The sequence below is a fragment of the Homo sapiens genome, chromosome 3, assembly GCF_000001405.40.
Source record: "Homo sapiens chromosome 3, GRCh38.p14 Primary Assembly".
Classification (NCBI taxonomy): domain Eukaryota; kingdom Metazoa; phylum Chordata; class Mammalia; order Primates; family Hominidae; genus Homo; species Homo sapiens.
Window position 1 is genome coordinate 160,074,017 of NC_000003.12, and position 18,925 is coordinate 160,092,941.

The 18,925-nt window shown below is 45.8% G+C and overlaps 1 long non-coding RNA gene across 1 annotated transcript in view, besides 1 other annotated feature; it reads right to left on the reverse strand.

The window, feature by feature from the left end:
- The window catches only part of IL12A-AS1 (IL12A antisense RNA 1), a 293,693-nt gene that overhangs the window by 160,617 nt on the left and 114,151 nt on the right, over nucleotides 1-18,925 (reverse strand). The gene's annotated exons all lie outside the window — the stretch shown is intronic.
- Nucleotides 2,444-2,943: an enhancer, noted in NCBI's record as "H3K4me1 hESC enhancer chr3:159794247-159794746 (GRCh37/hg19 assembly coordinates)". NCBI's record gives its function as "activates a minimal SCP1, AML or CMV promoter by ChIP-STARR-seq in primed H9 embryonic stem cells {active_cell/tissue: H9 hESC(primed)}" and the evidence as "EXISTENCE:reporter gene assay evidence [ECO:0000049][PMID:30033119]".

Genomic DNA, 18,925 nt, shown 5'->3' on the forward strand with positions numbered 1-18,925 from the left:
CATTAATTATACTTACTAAAACCTCTTCTCTTCCATACTGTTATTTGGCCCTCATCTTGGTGTTTTCTTACTTCTGTGCTGGAACATCATCTGCATTTCAGTTAGGAAGCCACTGCCTGGGGCCAGATCCCGCCCACCACCTGTTGTTATCAGTAGTTTTTTATTGGAACATTGTCTTATTAGAACTCAACCATGATGATTTGTTTACGATCATCTTTGGATGCTTTCTTGTCACAGTGGCATAGATAAGAACTTGTGATGAGGACCCGAGGGTCCTCAAGCCTGAATTATTTATGAGACAGCCCTTTAAGAAGTTTTCGACTCACTGCTTGTATCTCCGTGACCCCTCCCAGGCCTGTTCCATCCAGACTGCAAGGCACTTGCTTCTGCACTTTTCTTACCTGGCAAAATTCCTGCCCTTACAGAGTTTATACTTCAGTTGGGGAATAATAGGCAATAAAGAATAAGGAAAGTGTACAGTAAATTACAAAGTGCGAGAAGAGTCAAGCCGGGAGGGGTGAACAGAAGTGGGAGGCTTGCACAGGCCACACTGAGGTTGTGGGTTTGTGCCCAGTGTGGCTGCTCTTCCACCTGTGTGCTGACCCCACATTCCTTCCACACAGGGACCTTCCAGAGTAACTGGACTGTCTTCACACCTCCTTTCATCAGTGCCTTCCTTGGGGTCCTATGGATCTCCAGAGGAAGAGTCTCCTGGGCTGAGCACACGGGTGCAGTCACCACAGGGCCCTGTGGCCAGGGTGTTGAGTGTCTGGGAGGGGAAGCTGTGGGGGCAGTAGTGGGAGGCAGGGTGGGCGGGGCACCATCTCCTTTCTGCACAGTCTCTTTCTTGCTTAGGAGTTTGCACCTGTTGTGTGGACAATGAGTGCAACTTCAGGGTTATGAGAATTGTGGTCACTTGTGCATTTTTTTAAAAAGATGGCAGTAATAGGACCCCCTTCCAGGGTTGCGACTGAGTTTAAGTCAGTGGCATTTGTAAAGCCTGGCACTCAGTGAGCACTAGAAAGATGTGCTAAATGAAGCAAAGTCATCATATTCAAATTTGTAGTTTTCGGCCAGGCGCGGTGGCTTATGCCTGTAATCCCAGCACTTTGGAGGCTGAGGTGGGTGGATCACCTGAGGTCAGAAGTTCGAGACCAGCCTGGTCAACATGACAAAACCCCATCTCTATAAAAATACAAAAAAATTAGCCGGGTGTGGTGGCAGATGCCTGTAATCCCAGCTACTTGGGAGGCTGAGGCAGGAGAATCGCTTGAACCCAGGAAGCGGAGGTTGCAGTGAGCCGAGGTCACACCATTGTACTCCAGCCTGGGCAACAAGAGTGAAACTCCACCTCAAAAAGAGAAAAGAAAAAAAAACAAATGTTTAGTTCTCATATTTAATTGCTTTGGCTTTTTCCAGCAGTGATGTTTTTTGGGAACACGTGTTTTACTTTTATTGCCGCTACTAATGATATAGTTTAATAAAAGATAGAAGAGAATACTTAACTTTTATTTCCAGTAACTACAAACACAAATGGTTGAGCATGGTTTTTCTAAGCTAAATTAAGGATAGTTATAGCTGACTACATTTGCCATCAGTTTATACACTGATTTTTTTGACAGCTTGACTTCTTGGTAGGTTTGCATCTTGAGTATAAATTCTTCATAGGAAAATAAGTCCAGAGCACTTATCTTTAAAATAATAGTAATTTCAGCAACATATTTAAAAAATATAACAATTTGTGTTTTGATGCTCATTATCAAGTTCTTGTAGGTGATGGCCTATGTGCTACAAAATGTTAGGAAGAAAGACTCCTGTGAATGGCATGTTTCAGGTGGTGTAACAAATAACTTTTTCAAGTCCATCTTTGTGGTTGTATGATTGACTAAACATTAACCTGTAAGACTAACTTAATATTAAATCATAATGAGCCTATAATTGGATGTATATTCTTGTATTGATAATGGTGTTCATCGATTAAGCTGTTGGATGACCTTGGACCATTTTAATGTCTAAAGTGACAGTAGAGAACCAGACTCACATAGGATAGGACATGGGAGGTTACAAACCAGGGCCTCGGATTCCGTGAGACTCACACAAGATTGTCAGGAGTGTGGTAGAGGCAATTTTTTGCTGTGTAAATAGGTATTATAGTTTTTTTGCTTGTATTTTTTTTGTTGTTGTTATTTTTATTGTGTTTATTTTTCCGAATATATTTGATCCAAGGTTGTTTGAATCCCAGGTTGCAGAGGACCTACTCTACTAGAAACTGATTTCTTTGAGCAACAACAGTGTGTGAGGGTGCTGCATCCTCGGGCATTGTCTCTCTGTGATGGGGCCCAACTTGCTGGAGTTCCACTGGGGCAAGACCCAGCACTAGGCAGTGAACAGATCCCGTTTCTGAGGTATTTCTGCTGCCACCGGGATGAGGAGCAGGCTCAGCTCCACCCATATCCACCAGTGTGTAAACCCAATTTCCTACCAAAGGCAGGGAACGCCACCACCTCCTACTTGCAGTCCCTGACCCTGTGCAGTTTACACAGTGTCCCTTCATTCCTAAGTTGTCATGGTGAAGAAAGAAGTCAGTAGCAAAATGACCCTCTTATGGAGTTATGAAATGGGGTTGTCATGGAGAACAGTGATCTGCAGGGGACCTGGGGGCCAGCGTGGCCTTGACACTGATCAAGTGAGAAGGCAGCCATCCTTTGACAGGTACTGTTTGTCCAGTGTGCAGGTTAGTCCCAGTGACTCCAGTAGACCATGACGGTGATAGTGCAAGAGAGGCGCTAACTTGAAATAGTGGCCTTACATGTGCTGCACTAAGAGCTTCACAGATACCCACCCAGACCAATGTTCAGAGACAGGGAGCATACCCATGAGAAGTAGGGGAAGCTGAAGATGAGGAGCTGATCCCCTCACACTGTACAGTAAGTAGTCCCCTCTCATCCTCTGAGATGTGTTCCAAGACCCCGGAGCATGCCTGAAACCACAGCTAATGCTGACCTCTAGATATACTGCTCTTTTTCTGTACATACATACCTATGTTAAAGGTTAATTATGAAATTAAGCACAGTGACAGATCAACAAGAGTAAAGTAGAACAATTAGGACAATATGTCTATCACTACTCATTTGCTTTGGAACATTATTTATTTATTTATGAGGCAGGATCTCATTCTGTCTCTCAGGCTGCAATGCAGTGGCATACTCATGGCTCAATGCAGCCTTGATCTCCAAGCTCAAGCAGTACTCCCACCTGAGCCTCCAAGGTAGCTGGGGCCACAGGCATGCACCACCATGCCTGGGTAATTTTTTTTTTTTTTAAGGCAGAGTCTCACTCTGTGAGAGTCTCAGCCTGTGCCAGGCTAGAGTGCAGTGGCATGATCTTGGCTCACTGCAACCTCTGCCCCTGCCTCCTGGGTTCAAGCGATTCTCCTGCCTCAGCCTCCTGAGTAGCTGGGACTACAGGCATGCGCCACCACACTGGCTAATTTTTGTGTTTTTTAGTAGAGATGGGGTTTCACCATGTTGGCCAGGCTGGTCTTGAACCCCTGACCTTGTGATCTTCCCACTTCAGCCTCCCAAAGTGCTGGGATTACGGGCGTGAGCCACCATGCCCAGCCTGGCTAGTTTTTAAAATAATTTTTTGTAGAGGTGGCCTCACACTATGTTGCCCAGGCTGATCTGAAACTCGCATGTTCCAAGTGATCCTAGGCTCATTTTGACCTCCTAAAGTGCTGGGAATACAGGCTAGAGCCATCATGCCTGGCCAGGGACCGTTATTAAACAAAATAAAGATTACTCAAACACATCAATCGTTGTCCAATTATGCTGGACAAATGGATAATTGATGTCCCTAACAGGACAGAGCAGAACTGAAACCATAAAAAGTGAAACTGCAGATAAGCGAGGAATACTACAGTTGTTGAACGTGGAACCAAGGTATGGCTCAGACCTGGCCAAAAACTCAACTTCCAGGACATGCCTACCTGACATTAACTTCCTGGCATTGCCTGGCTGGCCTTAACTTCTCAGACATCCCCACTCGACCTCAAACAGCTGATGTTATTCACCTGATTTTAACCTTTGGGTTTGAACCTCCCAGCCTCGTTCACAGAGTCTTCACAGCTGTCCTTTAACATTCCAGTCAGACCCACACAGCTATAGATTCCTGGCCTTAACCTCTGGCCTTACCCATGTGACCTTAATCTTTTGGCCTTAATCTCCTGTCCTTACAAACTGAATTTTACCCACCTACCTTAACCTCTTCAACTTACACACCTGATGTTAACCACATAGCTTTACAGAGCTGGCCTTCACTACCTGGCCTTAACCACTTGGCTTTATTCACCTTCCAGCCCGACCCACTAGGCCTTACCCACGTGGCCTTCTTAAAGATACGACCATACTTGCCTGCCTGACCTCACCCAGCATGACTTAATCTTCTGGTCTTATATCCATCTGGTGTTAACCACCTACCTTGACTCAGTGAGACTTCATCTCTAAACAGTTCCCTCTGTGTCCCATTCACGTATAATTAGCCTCCTGTCATTTAGCTGGCTTACCGACTTGGCCTTGATCCTCTGGGAAGTTTCCCCATTGATTTACCGGCCTGGTGTGTTAACCAAATAGTTTTTTATTCAGCTGGATTTAAACACCTGGTTTTAACAATCTGGATTTACTCACCAGATGTTATTAACTTGATGGCCTTAATCACCTTATCTTAGCCTCATAATCTGGCTTTATCCACCTGGCCTTATTAAATTCCTGGCCTTATTTACCCAGTCTTAATTTTCTGGCCTAGAAGAACTGGGCTTACCAGCCTGGCCATAACATCCTGCCATTATCCACCTGTTTATAACCAGCTATTTAATTTGCTGGCTTCATTATCTGGTCAGTATCCAACTGATCTTATCCATGAGGTCTTACACCCTGGCCTTACCCGCCTCATTTTACCACACTGGGCACACCCCATTAGACTTCCCCACCTGGCTTAACCCTATGGGCCTTACCCAAATGTCCTTAACCTTCTGGTTTTATCTACAGGCCTTAATCCCCGGGCCTTACTCCACTGGATTTATCTGCCTAGGTTGACTCCTCTGGACTTATCCACCTTCCATTATTCTCTATATTTCCCCTCCCCAGACTTAGATACCCTTCTAAACCCATCTGGAGTTACCCAACTGGCATTAAACTCATGGCTTTACCAACCTGGATTACCAACTGAGCTTACCAACCTGGCCTTATCTTTCCATTCTTACTCACATGGACATCCTCTTTACCCACTTAAACTCAGCCACCTAGTTGTATGCAGGGAGGCCTTAACTTACTGGCCTTACCTATCTGGCCTTTTAAATAGCTTGGCTTCCTGACCTGGCCTTAACTTCATGGTTTTGCCAACTTAGATTTACCCACCTACCTTGTTAAGCTACTGGCCTCACTCATGCAGTATTAATCCCCTGGCCTTGTGCACCTGGCTTACCCACCTGGCTTTACCCTACTGGCTTTAACATCATATCTTTACCAACTAGAGTTACCCAACTGATCTTACCTACCCAGGCTTACCCAGTTGGCCTTCACAATTAGTCTCAACCTTCTGGCTTTACTTAGCTGTCCCAGCCCTACTGACCTTAACCTAGTGTCATTATTCGCTGTCCCAGCCCCTTGCTTTACTTTCTTGGACTTCACCTATTGGCCTTCCCACATGGCTGTATTTTCTTGGCCTTACCCACTTGGCCTTGTTCAACTACTGGCCTCAACCAGTAGGCATTCTGCAACCGACATTATCAACCTGACAGCCATACTCACCTGCCATATTCACTTGCCTGGCCTCAGCCAGCATAACATGACTTAATCTGCTGGCTTCATACCCATCTGATGTTGACTACCTGGTTTAATTCATCTGGCCTTCACCTCCTCACCTTCCCCTCACTATCTTGCCCACCTAGTATTAGTTTCCTATCATTATTTAGCTGGCTTGGCAACTTGGCCTTAATCCTACAGGGAATTTCTCCATGGATCTACTGTCCTGGGGTTACACAAATAGTCTTTTCTTTGGCTAAATTTAAATGCCTGGTTTTAACAATCTGGCCTTACTCACCAGACATTATTAACCTCACTTCCTTAATCACCTTACCCTCATGGCATTATTAAACAAGTTTCATCCATGTGGCCCTATGAAACTCCTGGCCTTACTGACCCAGGTTTAATTTCCTAGCCTAACTAATGATCTTGGTCTTATCTACCTGGCCATAACTTCTCGCCGTTATCCACCTATTCTTACCTACCTGGCTTTAATTTGCTGGCCTCAATCTACTGTCAAGACCTACCTGGTCTTGCCCATGGTGCCTTACTGCCCTTTCTTTATTGCTTGGCCTTACCCACCTCAATTTATCACCCTTGCCAGAACCCTTTAGTTTTCCACACCTGGCCGAAACCTGTGGGCCTTAACCATGTGGTCTCAACAACCTGGATTACCTACCTAGTTTTTCCACCTAGTCTTCCCCATTGTGAGTTTCATGCTTAGTTTACACAGCTGTCCTTAACCTTCTGGTTTTATTTACCAGGACTTAGCCCCCAGTCTTATTTTTCAAAACTTACCTCCCTAGGTTTCCTCCCTTGGGCTTATTTCCCTGCCTTTCTTACCTAGATTTTCTCCCACGCCCGAACATAACATACCTTACATTTCCCATTTGGACTTCCCCCATCTGGCCTGAACCTCATGGACTCCATAGCTTACCAACCTGGCCTTCTCACTGGCCTTAGCCTTTCATTCTTAGTCACATGGCCTCAACCTCCTAGCATAATATGCCTAGCATTAAGTTCTCAGCCTTTATCGGGGAACCTGCCCTGATATTCACGTAGGTTCTTTTCTATTTTCCCTAAGTGTCGGCCAGCTTGAGAAATAAAGGGACAGAGTACAAAAGAGAGAAATTTTAAAGCCGGGCATCCGGAGGAGACATCACATGTTGGTAGGTTCCGTGATGCCCCACAAGCCGCAAAAAACAGCAAGTTTTTATTAGGGAGTTTCAAAAGGGGAGGGAGTGTGCGAATAGGTGTGGGTCACAGACATCAAGTACTTTACAAGGTAATAGAATATCACAAGGCAAGTGGAGGCAAGGCGAGATCACAGGACCACAGGACCAGGTGAAATTAAAATTGCTAATGAAGTTTCGGGCACCATTGTCATTGATAACATCTTATCAGGAGACAGGGTTTTGAGATCACCTGGTCTGACCAAAATTTATTAGGCGGGAATTTCCTCTTCCTAATAAGCCTGGGAGCACTATGGGAGACTGGAGTCTATTTCACCTCTGCAGTCTGGACCATAAGAGACGACCACGCCCAGGGGGGCCAGTTCAGAGACCCACCCCCAGGTGCGCATTTTCTTTCTTAGGGATGTTCTGTGCTGAGAAAAAGAATTCAGCAATATTTCTCCCATTTGCTTTTGAAAGAAGAGAAATATGGCTCTGTTCCGCCCGGCTCACCGGCGGTCAGAGTTTAGGGTTATCTCTCTTATTCTCTGAACAATTGCGTTATCCTGTTCTTTTTTTCAAGGTGCCCACATTTCATATTGCTCAAACACACATGCTGTACAATTTGTGCAGTTAATGCAATTATTACAGGGTCCTGAGGCAATGTACATCCTCCTCAGCTGACAGGATTAAGAGATTAAAGTAAAGACAGGCATAGGAAATCACAAGGGTATTGATTGGGGAAGTGATAAGTGTCCATGAAATCTTTACAATTTATGTTTAGAGATTGCAGTAAAGACAGGCATAAGAAATTATAAAAGTATTAATTTGGGGAACTAATAAATGTCCATGAAATCTTCACAATCCACATTCTTCTGCCATGGCTTCAGGTGGTCCCTCCATTTGGGGGTCACTGACTTCCCACACAAGCCTTACACAGTTGGAGTTACGAACCTGGCTGTACTTGCTGGCCATAACTTTACTAGCTTTACCCACCTGGTTTTTTCAGTCGCTTGGCTTCCTGGCCTGGTGTTAACCTTATGGTTTTGCCAAAATAAATTTACCCAGCAGCCTTATTAACCTCCTGACCTTACTCATTGAGCATTAATCTGCTGACCTTACGAACCTGGCTTACCCACCTGGCTTTACCCTACTGGCCTTAACCTCATGTCCTTACCAACCTGAATCACTGAACTGATTTTATCTACCCAGCCTTACCCATTTGGCTTTCACAATTAGTCCAAACTTCTGGTCTTACTCACATCTCCCAGCCCTACTCACCTTAACCTAGGGGCATTATGCTTAGTCCTGACCCTTGGCCTTACTTTCCCAGCCCTCACCTATTAACCTCCCCATGTGGCCTTATTTATCTGGCCTTACCCAGTAGGCTTTCCCCACCTGACCTGCTTAACCTTAGGGCCATACTCACCAACCTTATTCACATGCCTGGTCTCAGACAGCATGACTTAATCTGCTGGCCTCATGCCCATCTGGTGTCTAACCCCTAGTTTTGTTCAGCTTGCCTTAACCTCCTTGCCTTCTCCTCACCTGTCTTACCTACCTAGCATTAGCCTCCTGTCATTATTTGGCTGGCTTGCTGACTTGGCCTTAATTCTCCTGCACGTTTCTCCTATTAATTTAGCAGCCTGGTGTTACTCAAATAGTCTTTTATTCAGCCAGATTTATAAACCTGGTTTTAACAGCCTGGCTGCACTCAGTCAAACTTACTATCCTTCTTGCCTTCATCACTTTATCTTGTCCACATGGTATTAGGAGCCTGGCATTATCCTTCTTTCCTTATTAACCTCTTGGCCTTACTCACCCAGACTTAATTTCATGGCCTAAAAGTTCTGGATTTACACACCTGGCCATAAGTTCCAACCCACCAATATCTACCTGTTCTTACCCACCTACGTTTAATTTGCTGGTCTCAATCTCTGGTCTTGACCCACCTGATGTTGCCCATGAGGCCTTAGTCCCCTGCCTTTACTCCCTGGCCTCTCCCCCCTCATTTTACAACCCTGGCAAGACCCAATTAGTCTTCCTCACCAGACGTAACCCTATGGGCCTTAACCTCATGGCCTCAACAACCTGGATTAGCCACCATGTTTTCCCACCTGGTCTTACTGACCTTACATGACCCAAATGGCCTTAACGTTGGTTTACACAACTGTCCTTAATCTTCTGGTTTTATCTGCCAGGTCTTAACCCCTGGATTTACCTCCCTAGGTTTACTCCCCTAGACTAATACCCCTGCCATTATTCTCTAGGTTTACCCTTCACCCTTGAACTTAGAAAACTTGCATTAGCCACCTGGACTTACCCACCTGGTCTTAACCTCATGGCTTCACAAGCCAAGATGACCAACATAGCTTACCAACCTGGCCTTCCCACCCGGCCTTTACCTTTCATTCTTACTCTCATGGCCTTATTCTCTTGGATTAATTGGCCTAGCCTTAACCTCACGGCATTACCCACTTGGAGTTAGCCACCTAGCTCTACTCAGGGAGGCCTTAACTTACTGATGTTGGCCACTTGGCCTTTTAAATTGCTTGGTTTCCTGACCCAGTCTTAACCTCATGGTTTAGCCAACTTAGATTTACCCATCTGCCTTATGAACCTCTGGGCCTTACTCATTCAGTATGAATCCCCTGGACTTATTCACCTGGCTTACCCACCTGGCCTAACCCTACTGGCATTAACCTCATATCCTTACAAACCAGAATTGCCCAGTTGATTTTTTTTTTTTTTAGATGGAATTTCCCTCTTGTCACCCAGGTTGGACACGATCTCAGCTCACTGCAACCTTCGCCTCCCTGGTTCAAGTGATTCTCTGCCTAAGCCTCCAGAGTAGCTGGGATTACAGGTGCCTGCCACCACACCCGGCTAATTTTTGTATTTTTAGTAGAGATGAAGTTTCACCATGTTGGCCAGGCTAGTCTCAAACTCCTGACCTCAGGTAATCTGCCTGCCTCGGCCTCCCAAAGTGCTGGAATTATATGTGTGAGCCACTGTGCCTGGCCCCCAGTTGATTTTACCTACCGATCCTAACCCACTGGTATTCACAATTAGTCTTTTGTTGTTGTTGTTTTGAGGCAGAGTCTTGCTCAGGCACCCAAGCTGGAGTGCAGTGGTCCATCTTGGCTCACTGCAACCTTGGACTCCCGGGTTCCAGTAATTCTCCTCCTTCAGCCTCTCAAGTAGCTGGGATTATAAGTGTGCACCACCACGCCCTTCTAGTTTTTGTATTTGTAGTAGAGACATGGTTTCACCATATTGGACAGGCAGGACTCAAGCAGCCTGGGCTTACTCACCTACCATATTCACCTGCCAGGCCTCAGCCAGCATGATTTAATCTGCTTGTCTCACACCCATCTGGTGTTGACCACCTTACTTTGTTCAGCTGGCCTTCACTTCCCAGTGTCCCTCTCACTGTCATCCCTATCCAGTACTACCCTCCTGTTATTATTTAACTGGCTTAGTGACTGCTCTAATGCCCTTGGGTGTTTCCCCTTGATTGACTGGCCTGGTGTTACCCAAATAGTCTTATTCAGCCTATTTATACACCTGTTTTAGCAACCTTGCCTTACTCAGCAGACCTTATTAACCTCATTGTCTTAATCATCCTTATTCTCATGGCATTATTATACAAGCTTCTTCCATGTAGCCCTTTGAAACTCCTGCCCATAAGATCCAGGCTTAATTTCCTAGACTAAAAGTCCTGGCCTTACCCACCTGACCGTAACTTCTTACCATCATCCACCTATTCTCACCCAGCTGGCTTTAATTTGCTGGCCTCAATCTGCCGCCACGACCCACCTGATCTTACCCATGAGGCCTTACTCCCCTGTCCTTACACCCAGGTCTTACTCCCCTCTCTGGTGAGACCCCATTAACCTTGCTCACCTGGCTTACCCTTGTGGGCTTTAAACTCACAGCCTTAACAAATTGAATTAGCTGCCAGGGTTTGCCACCTAGTCTTACCAAACATGGCCTTCACACTTGGTGTATACAACTGTCCATAACCTTTGGTTAACCATGTCATTAACCTTATGGCCATACTCACCTGCCCTCTTCAGCTGCCTGGCCTCAGCCAGCATGACTTAATCTGCTGGCTTCATACCCTACTGGTGTTTGCCACCTGGTTTATTCAGCTGGCCTTCTCCTCACCTTACCTGCACTGTCTTACTCACCTAGTATTTGCCTCTAGTCATCACTCGACTGGCTTAGCAACTTGCTGTTAATCCTACTGGGTGTTTCCCCTGTTGGTTTCACAGTGTGGGGTTACTGAAATAGTCCTTTATAGAGCTAGGTTTAGACACCTGGTTTTAACAACCTGGCCAAACTCAGTAAACCTTATTAACCTGATTGCCTTCATCATTTTATTTTATCTTCATGGTATTACAAACTTGACGTTATCCATCTGGCCTTATTAACCACCTGGCCCTTCTCACCCAGTCTTCATGACTTTGCCTAACAATCCTGACCTTACCTGACTGGCCTTAACTTCCTGCCATTGTCCACTTGTTCTTACTCACCTGGTTGTAATTTGCTGTCCTCAAGCTCCCATCAAGACCCAGCTGATTTTATCAGCTAAGATTTACCCATCAGCTTTATGAAGCTCCTGCCATGCTCCCCTGCCCTTGCTCTCTGGCCTTATCCTCTTCATGTTAAGGCCCTGGCCAGACCCCATTAGCCATCCACACCTGGCCTAACCCTGTGGTCTTAACCTCATGGCCTTAACAGCCTGGATTAGCCACCTAGTTTTCCCACCTAGTCTTACTGATCATAGGTGATCATATGTGATCACATGGCCTCCACACTTGGTTTATGCAACTGTCCTTAGCCTTCTGGTTTTATCTAACAGGTCTTAAGTCCCTGGAGTTACCTCCCTAGGTTTTTTTCCCTTGCTTTTATCATACCCCTGCCCTTTTTCCCTAGCTTTATCCCAAGCTGAATGCCCCAACCCCAGCCCCAGCCCCAAGCCCATATTTAGACATCTTGCATTACCCACCTGGCCTTAACCTCATGACCTTCCCAACCTGGATGACCAACATAGCTTACCAACCTGGCATTCCCACCTGGCCTTAACCTTTGATTCTAACTCACATGGCCTTACCCTCCTGACATAGTCTGCCTAGTAGTAACCTCTTGGCATTATCCAGGTGGAGTTAGCCACCTAGCTGTATTCAGGAAGGCCTTAACTTACTGGCCTAAGCCACCCGGACTATTCAATCACTTGGCTTCCTAACCGGTCTTAACCTCACATTTTTGCCAGCTGAGATTTACCCAACTGTCTCATGAACCTACTGGCCTTATTCATCCAGTACGAATCTCCTGGCTTTAACCTTCTAGTTGTTTCTACCAGGCCTTAACCCCCTGGATTTACCTCCCTAGGTTCATTCACCTAGACTTATCCCCCTTTACTTATTCCTTAGATATCCCCTCCCTGGATGTAGACACCTTGCATTACCCATCTGGATTTGCCCACCTGGCCTCAACCTCATGGCCTGACCATCCAGGATTACCAACTTAACTCCCTGACCTTCTTACCTGGCCTTAATGTTCTACTGTCACTCTCATGGCCTTAACCTTCTGGCATAATGTGCCTAGGTTTAACCTCTTAGCTTTACCCACTTAAACTCAGCCACCTAGTTGTATTCAAGGAGGCCTTAACTTACTGGTCTTAACCATCTGGCTTTTTAAATAGCTTGGCTACCTGACCTACCCTTAACCTCATGGTTTTGCCAACTTAAATTTACCCACCTACCTTATTAACATCCTGGCCTCACTCATTTAGTATTAATCCCCTGGTCTTATGCACCTAGCTTACTTACCTGGCCTTACCCTACTGGCCTTAACATACGTCCTTACCAACCAGAATGACACAGCTGATTTTACCTACCTGGCCTTACCCAGTTCACCTTCACAATCAGCCTCAACCTTTTGGTCTTACTTAGCTGTCCCAGCCCTACTGGCCCTAACCTAGTGTCATTATCTGCTGTCCCAGGCCCTGGCTCTACTTTCCTGGCCTTCACCTATTGGCCTTTTCACATGACTGTATTTTCTTGGCCTTACCCACTTGGCCTTGTTCAACTACTGGCCTCAAACAGTAGGCCTTCTGTAGCCAACATTATTAACCTGACAGCCATACTCACCTGCCATATTCACCTGCCTGGCCTCGGTAAGCATAGCATGACATCATCTGCTGGCCTCATACCCATCTGATGTTGAGTACCTGGTTTAATTCATCTGGCCTTCACCTATTCACCTTCCCCACACTGTCTTGCCCACCTAGTGTTAGTTTCCTGTCATTAGTTAGCTGGCTTGGCAACTTGGCATTTATCCTACTGGGAATGTCTCCATTGATTTACTGGCCTGGGGTTACCCAAATAGTCTTTTCTTCAGCTAGATTTAAACACTTGGTTTTAACAGTCTGGCCTTCCTCACCAGACATTATTAACCTCATTTCCTTAATCACCTTACCCTCGTGGCATTATTAAACAAGCTTCATCCATGTGGCCCTATGAAACTTGTGGCTTTACTGACCTAGCCTTAATTTTCTGGCCTTACTAACGGTCTTGGCCTCATCTATCTGGCCATAACTTCTCACCATTATCCTCCTGTTCTTACCCACCTAGCTTTAATTTGCTGGTTTCAATCTGCTGTCAAAACCTACCCGCTCTTGCCCATGGTGCCTTCCTGCCCTTTCTTTACTGCCTGGCCTTACCCACTTCATTTTATTTATTTATTTTTTTATTATTATTATTATTATTTTAAGACGGAGTCTCGCTATGTTGCCAGGTTGGAGTTCAGTGGTGTGATCTCGGCTCACTGCAACCTCTGACTCCCTGGTTCAAGCGATTCTGCTGTCTCAGCCTCACGAGTAGCTGGGATTACAGGCACGTGCCAACACGCCCACCTAATTTTTATATTTTTAGTAGACTTGAGGTTTCACCATGTTGGCCAGGATGGTCTCTATCTCCTGACCTCGTGATTCACCTGTGTCGGCCTCCAAAGTGCTGGGATTACAGGCATGAGCCACCACGCTTGGCCAACCCACCTCATTTTCTCACCCTTGCCAGAACCCATTAGCTTTCCAAACCTGGCCTAAACCTATGGACCTTCACTTAAGTCTCAACAACCTGCATTATGTACCTTGTTTTCCTGCCTAGACTTACCCATCATGGGTTTCATGCTTAGTTTACACAGCTTTCTTTAACCTTCTAGTTTTATTTATCAGGACTTAGCGACTGGTCTAATTTTCCTAAACTTACCTCCCTAGCTTTCCTCCCCTGGACTTACTTCCCTGCCCTTATTACCTAAATGTCCCCCAACACCCAAATTTAACACACCTTACATTTCCCATTTGGACTTGCCCATCCCACCTTATCCTCATGTCCTCAATAGCTTACCAAACTGGCCTTCTCACCTGGCCTCAGCGTTTTATTCTTAGTCATATAACCTCAACCACCCAGCCTAGTCTGCCTAGCGTTAACCTCTCAGCATTACCCAGTTGGAGTTATCCACCTAGCTGTACTCAGTGGCCTTAACTTTACTAGCTTTAGCCATCTGGCTTTTTCAATGGCTTGGCTTCCTGACCCAGTGTTAACCTTATGGTTTTGCCAAAATAAATTTACCCACTGGACTTATTAACTTCCTGACCTTACTCATTCAGCATTAATCTGTTGGCCTTATGAACCTGGCTTACCCACCTGGCCTTACACTACTGGCCTTAACCTCATGTCTTTACCAACCCGAATCACCTAACTGATTTTATCTACCCAGCATTCTCCATTTTACCTTCACAATTAGTCCCAACTTCTGGTCCCAGCCCTACTGGGCTTAAACCTAGTGGCATTATCCTTAATCCTGACCCTTGGCCTTACTTTCCCAGACCTCACCTATTGACCTTCCCTTATTTATATAGCCTTACCCACTAGGGCTTCCCCAGCCAACCTTACTAACCTTAAAGCCATACTAACCAGCCATATTCACCTGCCTGGTCTCAGACAGCATGACGTAATCTGCTGGCCTCATGCCCATCCAGTGTCTACCCCCTAGTTTTATTCAGCTTGCCTTAACCTCCTCGCCTTCCCTTCACCTGACTTACCCACCTAGCATTAGCCTCCTGTCATTATTTGGCTGTCTTGCTGACTTGGCCTTAGTTCTCCTGCATATTCCTCCTATTAATTTACCAGCCTGGTGTTACCCAAATGGTCTTTCATTCAGCTGAATTTATAAACCTGGTTTTACAACCTGGCCACCCTGAGCCAAACTTACTAACCTTCTTGCCTTCATCACCTTATCTTGTCCACGTGGTATTAGGAGCTGGCATCATCCTTCTGTCCTTATTAACCTCTTGGCCTTACTCACCCAGACTTAATTTCATGGCCTAAAAATCCTGATCTTACACACCTGGTCATAAGTTCCTGCCCATCATTATCCATCTGTTCTTACCCACCTAGGTTTAATTTGCTGGCCTTAATCTCTGGTCATGACCCACCTGATCTTGCCCGTGATTAGTCCCCTGCCTTGACTCCGTGTCCTTGCCTCCCGTATTTTACCACCCTAGCTGGAACCCATTAGTCTTCCTCAATAGACCTAACCCTATGGACCTTAACCTCATGGCCTCAACAACCTGGATTAGCTACCATGTTTTCCCACCTGGTCTTACTGACCATACATGACTCAAATGACCTTCACGTTGGTTTACACAACCATCTTTCATCTTCTGGTTTTATCTGCCAGGCCTTAACTCCTGGATTTACCTCCCTATGTTTACTCCCCTAGAATGATAACCTGCCCTTATTCCCTAGATTTACCCCCCACCCTTGGACTTAGAAACCTTGCATTAGCCACCTGGACTTACCCACCTGGCCTTAACCTCATGGCTTCACCAACCGAGATGACCAACATAGCTTACCAACCTGGCCTTCCCACCTGGCTTTTACCTTTCATTCTTACTCTCATGGCCTCATTCTTCTGGATTAATCTGCCTAAGCTTAACCTCATGGCATTACCCGTTTGAAGTTAGCCACCTAGCTCTATTCAGGGAGGCCATAACTTACTGGCTTTAGCCACCTGGACTTTTAAATTGCTTCGTTTCCTGACCCAATCTTAACCTCATAGTTTAGCCAACTTAAATTTACCCATCTGCCTTATGAACCTCTGGGCCTTATTCATTCAGTATGAATCCCCTGGACTTATTCTCTTGGCTTGCCCACCTAGCCTTACCCTACTATCATTAACCTCATGTCCTTACCAAACACAATTGCCCAATTCTTTTTTGTTTTTTTGTTGGTTGGTTGGTTTGTTTTTTTGATATAGAGTTTTGTCGCCCAGGCTGGAGTACAATGGCACGATTTCAGCTCACTGTGCCTCCACCTCACGGGTTCAAGCAATTCTCCTGCCTATGCTTCCTTAGTAGCTGGGATTACAGTAGCCTGACACCATACCTGGCTAATTATTGTAGTTTTAGTAGAGATGGAGATTGACCGTGCTGACCAGGCTAGTCTCAAACTCCTGACCTCAGGTGATCTGCCTGTCTCAGCCTCCCAATGTGCTGGGATTATAGATATGAGTCACTGCGCTCAGCCCCAGATTGATTTTACCATTCAAGCCTTACCCAGTGGTATTCACAATGAGTCTTTTTGTTGTTGTTTTTAGGCGGAATCTTGCTCTGTTACTCAGGCTGGAATGTGGTGGTGCCATCTTGGCTCGTTGCAACCTCGAACTCCTAGGTTCAAGAGATTCTCTTGCTTCAGCCTCTCAAGTAGCTGGAATTACAGGCATGTGCTATCAGTCCTGTCTAGTTTTTGTATTTGTAGTAGAGACGTGGTTTTACCATGTTGGCCAGGCAGGTCTCAAGCAGCCTGGGCTTACTCACCTACTGTATTCACCTGCCAGGCCTCAGCCAGCATGATTTAATCTGCTGGTCTCACACCCATCTGGTGTTGATTACCTTGCTTCATTCAGCTGGCCTTCACCTCCCAGTGTTCCTCTCACTGTCATCCCCATCCAGTACTACCCTCTTGTTATTATTTAGCTGGCTTACTGACTTTGCTTTAGTGCTCTTGGCTGTTTCCCCTTGATTGACTGGCCTGGTGTTACCCAAATGTCTTTTATTCACCCGGATTTATACACCTGGTTTTAGCAACCTTGCCTTATTCAGCAGACCTTATTAACCTTATTGCTTTAATCGTCCTTATCCTCATGGCATTATTAAACAAGATTCATCCATGTAGCCCTTTAATTTGCTGGCCTCAATCTGCTGTCAAGACCCATCTGATGTTAGCCATGAGGCCTTACTCCCCTATCCTTACACCCTGGTCTTACTCCCTCTCTGGTGAGACCCCATTAGACTCACTTACCTGACTTAACCTTATTGACTTTAATCTCATAGCCTTAACAAATTGGATTAGCTGCCAGGGTTTGCCACCTAGTCTTACCAAACGTGGCCTTCACACTTGTTATATACAACTGTCCTTAACCTTTGGTTAACTATGTCATCAACCTTAAGGCCATACTCACCCACCCTCTTTAGCTGCCTGGCCTCAGCCAGCATGATTTAATCTGCTGGCTTCATACCCTACTGGTGTTTACCACCTGGTTTATTCAGCTGGCCTTCACCTCCTCACCTTAGCTGCACTGTCTTACGTACCTAGTATTTGCCTCCAGTCATCATTTGACTGGCTTGTCAACTTGCCGTGAATCCTACTGGGTGTTTACTCTGTTGATTTCACAGCGTGGGGTTACTGAAATAGTCCTTTATTGAGCTGGATTTAGACACCTGGTTTTAACAACCTGGCCAAACTCAGCCAACCTTATTAATCTGATTGCCTTCCTCACCTTATTTTATCCTCATGGTATGACAAACTTGACATTATCCATCTGACCTTATTAACCTCCTGGCCCTTGTCGCCCAGTCTTCATGACTTTGCCTAAAAATGCTGGCCTTACCCAACTGGCCATAACTTCCTGCCATGTCCACGTGTTCTTACTACCTGGTTGTAATTCGCTTGCCTCAGTCTCCCATCAAAATCTACCTGATTTTACCCACTAAGATTTACCCACCTGCCTTATGAAGCTCCTGCCATTACTCCCCTGCCCTTGCTGTCTGACCTTTTCCACTTCATGTTACGGCCCTGGCCATATCCCATTAGCCTTCCACACCTGGCCTATCCCTATGGGCCTTAACCTCATGGCCTTAACAATCTGGATTAGCCACCTAGTTTTCCTAACTAGTCTTAATGATTACACGTGACCCACATGGCCTCCACATTTGGTTTACACAACTGTCCTTAGCCTTCTGGTTTTATCTAACAGGGAATAGCCCCCTGGATTTACCTCCCTAGGTTTTCTCCCCTGGTTTTATCACCCCCTGCCCTTTTCCCCTAGCTTCACCCTCAATTCCATGCCCCAGCCCCAGCCCCATATTTAGACATCTTGTATTACCCACCTGGCCTTAAACTCATGAACTTCCCAATCTGGATGACCAACATAGCTTACCAGCCTGGCATTCCCACCTGGCCTTAACCTGTCTAACTCACAAGGTGTTAACCTCCTGACCTAGTCTGCCTAGTAGTAACGGCTTGGCATTACCGAGGTGGAGTCAGCCACCTAGCCCTATTCAGGAAGGCCTTAACTTACTGGATTAAGCCAACTGGACTTTTCAATTGCTTGGCTTCCTGACCTGGTCTTAACCTCATGGTTTTGACAACTTAGATTTACCCACCTGCCTTATGAACCTCCTGGCCTTACTCATCCAGTATGAATCTTCTGGTCTTACACACCTAGCGTACCCACCTGACCTCACCCTAGTGCCATTAACATCCCATTTTTACCAACCCAAATCACTCAGCTGATCTTACCTCCCCAGCCTTACCCAGTTGGCCTTCCCAATTAGTCTCAACCTTTTAGACTTCCTCACCTGTCCCCACTACTGGCATT